The sequence below is a fragment of the Homo sapiens genome, chromosome 13 (genome assembly GCF_000001405.40).
Source record: "Homo sapiens chromosome 13, GRCh38.p14 Primary Assembly".
Lineage (NCBI taxonomy): Eukaryota > Metazoa > Chordata > Mammalia > Primates > Hominidae > Homo > Homo sapiens.
This window is the reverse complement of record NC_000013.11, coordinates 48,558,727-48,567,597: the sequence shown is the minus strand read 5'-3', so window position 1 is coordinate 48,567,597 and position 8,871 is coordinate 48,558,727. Positions and strand designations below refer to the sequence as shown.

The window sequence follows — 8,871 nt, the reverse complement described above, 5'->3', positions numbered from 1 at the left end:
GTGGTGTTTTTGTTTGTTTGTTTTTTAAGGTACTAAAAGAAATAAGAGATTGTACCTTCTGAGTCAGGCAAAATGAATGGAAACTGTTGAAAGCTCCTTAGGAAAAGGGATCACGGTAAAAGCTAATCAGGCTTCACATCAGCTTTCCCTTACTGGGTCACTTTAGGAGCAAAATAAGAAATAAATGATTACAAACTTGAACATGAGTCAAGAACCACTCCTGACTAGGGATCACTGATTTGAGTTAAAGAATGTAGAACGCCTTTCCATTAAAGGAAAAACTCTTTGGTTTTGAATTGGGAACAGGGGATTCAGTAAGATTCAGTCACAATTTAAATAAATATGTATTCTAACTATCTCTACTAAAGGGGCCAAGAAGCAGTAATATCTCAGTAGCAATGGACACATCTGATACCCAGATTTTGGTTTCTAAATATCATTGCACTGGGCATCTTGGAGAAACTGAATAGGTTCAGGGCTAGGAGAGAGAAAGTACAAGGTAAGCCTGTTCTGTACCAGAAAGTAGAAAAACATTCAAAGACCTATAGGTTTACGTAAAAAAAAGACATAAGATCTTGCAGGCCCAAACAGGGATAAGTGGCTCCCTGAGGAAGGAATCTAATGGACAGAAACAACTCTACCCACCAGTCATGTGGTTAATGTTATGTAAATGATGCTTTTGAAGCCACTTAAACCATACAAAGTTTTCTTTTCTTTTTTTTTTTTTTTTAAGAGTTTTGCTCTTGTTGCCAAGGTTGGAGTGCAATGGCGTGATCTCGGCTCACGGCAACCTCTGCCTGCCGGGTTCAAGCGATTCTCCTGCCTCGGCCTCCTGAGTAGTTGGGATTACAGGCATGTGCCGCCACCACACCTGGCTAATTTTTTGCATTTTTAGTAGAGATGGGGTTTTGCCATGTTAGCCAGGATGGTCTCGATCTCCCAACCTCAGGTGATCCGCCCACCTTGGCCTCCCAAAGTGCTGGGATTACAGGCTGAGCCACCGTGCCCAGCCTATAAAGTCTTAAATACCCCAAATTAATCTTGGTCTTCTTTGTATATTCATTCTCCTCTTTCTTGCTCATAAGATTAGGTACTTAGTTTATATTTATGGATTTGATTTAGTTTTTTATTGTTTTTTTTTTTTTTCATTGAAAGGGACTTTTGGAAAGTAACCAATTATTTGATCATATAAATAATCACCTTGAGGGTTATCTGTTTTCCAACTTTAGATTTTCCTATACTGGATTTCCTAAAAGCAAAGAATATACACTGTACTCATATATGTACGTGTATATTACAGAACTAAAAACTATAAGTGGTGGTGTATGAAGTTTATAAATGAATTTAGGTAATTAATGGGAAAATTAGAATGAAGTTCCAAACATATTGCAATTTGTTTAATAGATGTTTGATTCAGACATCACCTAAAGTTTTATATTGTATTGTAAATATATTGAATAAGCTTTAATAACGAGTACAATTGAATTAAACATATAAAGTTTCTCTCCATCATCCCCTAACGCACTCCCCACAGAAGACTTACAGGCCTCATAATAACTAAGGGCCTGTGTGTCACAGACCCTAGGACACAAAAGGCAGGAATATCTTTGATGAGATTATCACTCTCTAGTACCTCCTCCGAAATCTGGAGAATCCACCTGCAGTACCTCTGAGATGAAGGACATTTTGATTTGATGTGGCAAAGTCAGATGAGCCACATGAAATTTCAAGAATACATTTCTCACGTTCCCAGTTGCAAGCATACCTGTGAAATATAGCCTAATAGATGGAATGTTACCTGAAGCCTACAGAAATTAAAGGCTGATGCCTCATGTTGTCCCTGGGCTAAATCTGTGGTCCTCAGAAGACTGACCTCACCAGCATGCCTCATCTGGGGCACACGCACATGCACACTCACACTCATGCTAACACACTCACACATACCTATGTTTCCCACTCCCTGCTCTGGCTGATCGAGTTGCTTGTGTGCAGACTGTTTCATCATTGCAACTACTACTTGTTTTCTGGTCTGTACCTTGGCTAACTTGAGGAGAGCCACTTTTTTCTGTGTGCAGATATGAGAAAAAGCCTGAATTCTTCCTTCTGGTTGAATTAGTGACTACAGGAGTTTCTTACACTCTACCTAAGATCGGTGAAATAATCCAAGAATTACCCGACTCAGGTGCAGTTTGGTGGCCTCTGGCCATGCACATTGGATTGGGTACCTTAAATCATGGCCTAGCAGCTCCATCTCAGTCAGGGAGTTTCCTGACCCCAGGCTTGGCGTATGGGAGGCCTTATTTATCTGGTCAACCTTCCAACTCTCTAGGAACAGAGCTGTTCCTCCCCTAAAAAGGCATACCACAGAAATCATCTGTCCACACCAAATGTTTATTGATTTTATCCTTATAATGCTCATCAGGGTTTCTCAGCTTCAGCACTATTGACATGTCGGACTGGGTGACTGTCGTTGGGGGCTTTCCTGTGCATTGAAAGATGATTAGCAGCACCTCTGACCTCTACTCACTGAATGCCAGCAGACCTTCCAAAGTTGTGACAACCAAAAATGTCTCCAGGAATTGCCAAATGTCTCCTGAGAGACAAACTCATCCATGAATAGATACACTGATATACACAAATAATATTGTTCAAATTGGCTAACCATCTTGGGTTACAATCACCTGAAATCTGTACAATCGTCTTACCATTTCATGCTTAGCAATTACCTACATTATCATAAGGCAGGTATCAACTACATTTTAAAAAGCAGAAAATATTGAGTGGTCATAACAGTTTGAGCTATCATAGTCTTGGTCTTAAACTGTATTCCTACTTCCTCTAGTCAAATATATCTGTGACTTTTTTAGGCCCCTTTTTCCCCTCACAATACTCAATTCTAAGATAAACTGCAGTGCGCATTTGTTTTTATTTTCTCTTGCCTAAAGAAAGGACACAGGACAAAGTTACTGATAACTCCAAGTTGCAGAGTCAGTATTTGTAAAACCTCTCAAAGTGTCTCTTATCACTGTTATAATACAGCAGGTCAGCAGTCAAAAGAGGAAAGGAAACAGGGAAAGATGATCTTTTTAAACTGGTGTAAACATCCTTCTTTATTTGCCATGGCCCCTTATTATCATCACTTTTCCTTAGCTGGGACATTATTGCCAATTTCTCCAGAGATAAGATAGCATTTATTTATCATTATTTCTACATAAGAAACTTGAGGACATTGTGTTTTTCTGCCTTTGAAGTAGCAATTTCATTTTCAATCTCTCTCCAAGATGCTGATGGGCAACTGTATATCCTATCTTCCCTTGGGCACTTTTACCAACAAACCGTCTAAAACACTAGCAGAATCTATTGCTCTGTCTTCCGGGTGAGTCACACAGCTTATTAAAAGCTTATCAAGGCCAGAGCAAGCTCAGATGACTTGATAGTTGATGAAACAGAAAAGTTTTTTTATTTTTTAATTTAAGGAAGTCTCACATGGCCTAATTAATGCTAAGGTTCCTACGGCCATGGTCCCTTATAGTTTAAACACTTATATTTAAATATGATAATTACCCTTAAATAATTATAGCAATCCAGCCTTGAATACAAAGCAACCAGAAGAATGGGATTGATAATTGGAAACTTTATAGAATAATTAGGGAAGAAATTACTTTCTCTTGGTCCTCTGTAGAACTGGGAATTTTTAGAGCAGGGAGAGACTTTGGGGTTTACCTAGACCAGTCCTTTTATATTACAGATGAGGAAGCTGGGAGTCAGGGTGATCTGGTGATTTATCTAAGGTCAGCAGACAGCTGTTGACCAAAAAAAACAAAAGAAAAGACAGAAATTTTCCCATGTTTTTCCATTAGACCATGGATTTATATTATTTTTGGACATTTGGACAATAAAGAAATCTATTTGCTAATTAAATTGAGACTTTTTATAGCTAGACATGATAACAGTAAGGGGCCATGATGATAATAAGGGACCATGGCAAATAAAGGAAGATTTTTACACCAGTAGCACCAGTAGTGCTAGACATTATATGTATCTCTTAGAAAGAGGTTTGTAGTACAGAGATCTGGGCATAGAGAAAAGTATATTATTTATGGCTTCAATACAGATTTCTAGGAACATTTAGATATTGGGTACATTTAAGTTCAGTGAAGAAGAAAGAAAATCAAGTTCATCATTTTGTGATTTTTTTTTTTTTTTTTTTTTGAGACAGAGTCTTGCTCTGTTGCCCAGGCTGGAGTGCAGTGGCGCAGTCTAGGCTCACTGCAATCTCCACCTCCCAGATTCAAGTGATTCTCTTGCCTCAGACTCCCGAGTAGCTGGGACTACAGGCATGCACCACCACACCCGGCTAATTTTTGTATTTTAGTAGAGACAGGGTTTTGCCATGTTAGCCAGGCTGGTCTTGAACTCCTGACCTCAGGTGATCCACCCGCCTCGGCCTCCCAAAGTGCTGGGATTACAGGTGTAAGCCACCGTGCCCGGCCTGATTTAAATGAAGAACTGATTGCATTTGAAACCATTTTGACCAATAGAGGAGATAGTCAAGTATTGCTGGAAATAAAATGTTTTCTGCCAGTTGCTTTTGGTTTCAGCAATCTTGAGTAGAGATATCATTGAAAAAGAAATCTGATAGGAAGAATTCAAGGCAAAGAGACCATTGTGGTTGAAGAGGCCTATCATTCTAGACAGAGATGGGAAATGGCATTGCCTAACATCTAAGTTAATCTAGACAGCTGCAATGGTCAGGAGCCCTTGTTCTGCAGCCTCCACTGCCCAGTTTCAAGCCACATCTGCTGTATTATATTAACCTTGTCCACCTTTACCCTGTATGACACTACTATAATTAGGTTCCTTCTCCCTTCAGGTAAGAAATCATTAAAAAATTTTTTGGTGTTCCCATAGACTTTGTCCAAGCTTAGGCGTATTATTTAGTTGGTCTGAGGAAATTGTACCAAGTTTGAGTCTGCAATTTTGGGCAGAGAGGTTTACTCCATGGCAGAACAGAAACCCACACCTGAATCTCCCTGGTTCAAATATGAAGCCACACTTTGCATGAGTAAGTACTTCTGTGGTTCAGAGGCAGCTCTCACTACCTCTATGGGAGCTAACTCTCATGCGAGTGGTTTGAGGTTTCCTTCTCTGAGGTGAGTGTTGCTTCCTGCAGATAAGCGACTAAACATCTCAAATCAGGGTGTATCACATTTTCTATGAAGGTGATATTCAGTGAAGAAGACACTGGTCCACATAATTTCTATTTGCAGTAGACTTGTTTTTTGATTTATCATCGTCATCCTGAAAGAATAGCTTTCAACAGCAGGTTTCTGTATACTTTTGGTCTGTGAGTCCATTTCAGTGAACATTTTCTAAACACTGTCATTGGGTTCACTGTTTTGACAGGTCCAGTAGAGAAAATGGTCCTTTCAGGAGCAACATCTAGTTTATTTTTCCTGTCACTTTACTGTAGTTTAGATACATTTGCTTCAAGTTGCATGGGTTGTTTTGTGTATCTCAGTCACTTACTTCCTTTTTCAAAAACATCAGAGCAGTAAATGGTGCAATTGCTGCTGAATTTTTTTGTGTACTTTATTCCCCTGATTAAGAGTGTGTAAATTCACTGATTCAGATGCTACATAACAATAAACCTAAAAATAGTAATATCAATATTTATCAATGTTTACTTGGTAAATGACAAATTTATCATGACCTTAAATATTTTAAAAATTAAATATTACTGCAAATAGAGTCACAAAAAATGACTGAGCATTTTGGGTTGGATTTTCAAAGTCTTAATGGAATGAGTAAGTCTGGTTTCTTAGTACTAATCTCTCAAAAAATCAAGGTGTTTGGGAAAGAGCCAATATTATAATGAGCTTGAGGAATATTATCAAATTAGTCCTGGTTGATGCAGTGACTGTCCTAACTTGTGAAGCCACTAGTCTCCATTTGAAGATGTCAACATCAAAAGTGAAACCGTGCCCACAGTGCTCCAGGCAGTGAAGAGGAAACCAAAATGAAAAAGCCTCACCCCCATGAGCTTCTAATTACAGGGAAATAATAGGTAGGAGATTGTAAGGGACAAATGAACAGAAATAACAAGATAATATTGAGCAAGAAGAAATTTTAGAATGAGCTCAGGAAAATAATTCCATCAAACTTCTCAGTATAATCACTGGAGCCATTATACTGCATAATGTTGTTGGGGCTATTAGTATTAATAATAGTAATCATCATTACTACAAGTGCAGTGGAGAGAACAATTTTGCAGCTGTAGAAAGATAGTACAGATAGACTTCAAGAGAAATGTCCCTTCAGTCACATGATGCCATGTACAATATGAATTCTAAGAAAAAAAGATCCTAACCATTTAATTACCAAGAAAATGCTGCCTGACCACATTCGAGGGAAGTGTCTTCTTTACAACCATACTCTTTTAATTATAGAAGATAATTTTTTTTTTTCGTTCGGGTCTCACTCTGTCTGCTGTGGCACAATCATGGCTCACCGCAGCCTCTACCTCCTGGGCTCAAGCGATCCTCCTATCTCAGCCTCCCGAGTAGCTGGGACTACAAGTAAGCCCCACCCCACCTGGCTAGTTTTTGTTGTTGTTGCAGGTCTTGCTATGTTGCATAGGCTGACCTTGAACTCCTGAGCTCAAGCAGTCTCTCACCTTGGCCTCCCAAAGTGTTGTGATTATAGGAGTGAGTCCGGCAGAGAAGATGATTCTTAATATAACTGACTCAGCTGAAAAAACACCAGAACCGAGAAGGGTCGTTTTACTACTTGTTAGTTAGTAGCACATTTATCCATCTTACTATTTTCTTTCCTCTTTCAGAAATAACCTGCAAAATAAGTTTACCTTGTAACCCTGTGTAAGAAATCAGGTAAAGGGTATAAAATAGAATTTTAGATAAAAATTAAGATGTATAGATTATTTAATAGAGCATTTTTATAGAAATTTTTTATTGAGATAATTGTAGATTCACATGCAGTTGTAAGAAATAATCCAGAGAATACTTTCTACCAGTTTCCCTCATTTTGCAAAACTGTAGTATAATATAACAATCAGGATATTGAGAGTGATACAAGCCACCTATCTTATTCATATTTCCCCAGTTTAACATGTAAATATTTGTGTATTTAGTTCTATCCAATTTTATCATGTATATAGGTTCATGAATCCATCACCACAGTTAACATACAGAATATTTCATCACCACGAGGGTCCTCCTGCTGCCCGTTTATAACAACACCCACCTCTCCCCTCCCCCATCCTTAACCCCTGGCAACCACTAATCTCCATTTCTAAAAGTCTATCACCTTTAAACTGTTACATAAATAGGATCATAAAGGATGTAACCTTCCAAGATTGGCCTTTTTTCATTCACCGTAATTCCCTGAAGAATCACCCAAATTATGGCCTACGTCAATAGTTTGTTCCTTTTAATTCCTGAGTAATAGTCCAAGGAATGCGTGTATCACAGTTTGTTTAATCATTCATGTCTTGAAAGACATCTGGGCTGACTCCAGTTTTCAACTCTTACAGAAAGATGCTATGAACATTCTTATACAGCTTTTTATTTCATTTGATCAAGAGTACAATTGCTGGTCATATCGTAATTACATATTTAGCCTTATAAGAAATTACCAAACTGTTTTCAAAATGACTGTATCATTTTGCATCCCCACCAACAATGTAGGAGTGATCCTGTTTTTCCATATCCCTGACAGCACCTGGTGTGGTCACTGTTTTTTTATGTTAGTCATTCTGATGTGTGTGCAGTGATAGCTCATCATGGTCCTAAGCTGGATTTTCCTAATGGCAAGAGATGTTGAACATTTTTTCATATGCTTACTTGACAACCGTATGACCTCTTCAGTAAAATGTCTTTTCATGGCCTTTGTCCATTTTCTAATTGGATTGGTTTTTTGAAAGTTACATTTTGAGAATTCTTTATATTTTCTGGAAACCAGTCCCTTGTTGACTATGTTGTTTGTAACTATTTTCTCCTAGTCTGTAGTTGATCTTTTCATCCTCCTCCCATAGACTTTTGCAGAGCAAAGTTTTTAACTTTGAGGAAACCCAGCTGATATAGTCTAAAAACTTTTTGCCTAGCCCTAGATCTTGAAGGTCTTCTTCCTGTTTTGTTTTTGGTTGGTTTGTTTGTTTTTGTTTTTGTTTTTTTTCTGAGACAGAGTCTTGCTCTGTCACCAGGCTGGAGTGCAGTAGCACAATCTCGACTCATTGCAACCTCTGGCTCCTGGATTCAAGCAATTCTTCTGCCTCAGCCTTCAGAGGAGCTGGGACTACAGGCGTGCGCCACCATGCCCACCTAATTTTTTTGTATTTTTAGTAGAGACAGGGTTTCACCATGTTGGCCAGAATGGTCTCCATCTCCTGACCTCGTAATCCGCCCGCCTCGGCCTCCCAAAGTGCTGGGTTTACAGGCGTGAGTCACCGCGCCCGGCCTTGTTTTTAATATTTTGTAGTTTTGTGTTTTACAGTTAAGTTCATCTTTCGGTTGGTTTGTATAACGTATGATATTTAGGTTGAGTTCTTTTGTTTTTGATTTGTATTGTTTTGTTTTTTGCCTATGGGTGTTCAATTGCTCCAGCACCATTTGTTGAAAAGATTTAACTTCCTCCATTCAATTGCTTTTGTGGATGTATTGTCAAATGATTTTTGTGTGAATTGACACTATCATATTATCTTTTCCTTAGGCCGATATACCAATGTTTAATTTTGAATGTTGAACCAATCTTACATTCCTAGAATAAGTCCAAATTGGTCATGGCGTAGAATTCTTTTACACACTATTGGATTTAGTTTGCTAATATTTTGTTAAGGATTTTTATGTTTAAATT

At 38.4% G+C, this 8,871-nt stretch overlaps 1 annotated feature.

Annotated features, from left to right (window-relative positions):
* Positions 5,903-6,002: an enhancer, noted in NCBI's record as "active region_7734". NCBI's record gives its function as "activates an Ori minimal core promoter by ATAC-STARR-seq in GM12878 lymphoblastoid cells {active_cell/tissue: GM12878}" and the evidence as "EXISTENCE:reporter gene assay evidence [ECO:0000049][PMID:35858748]".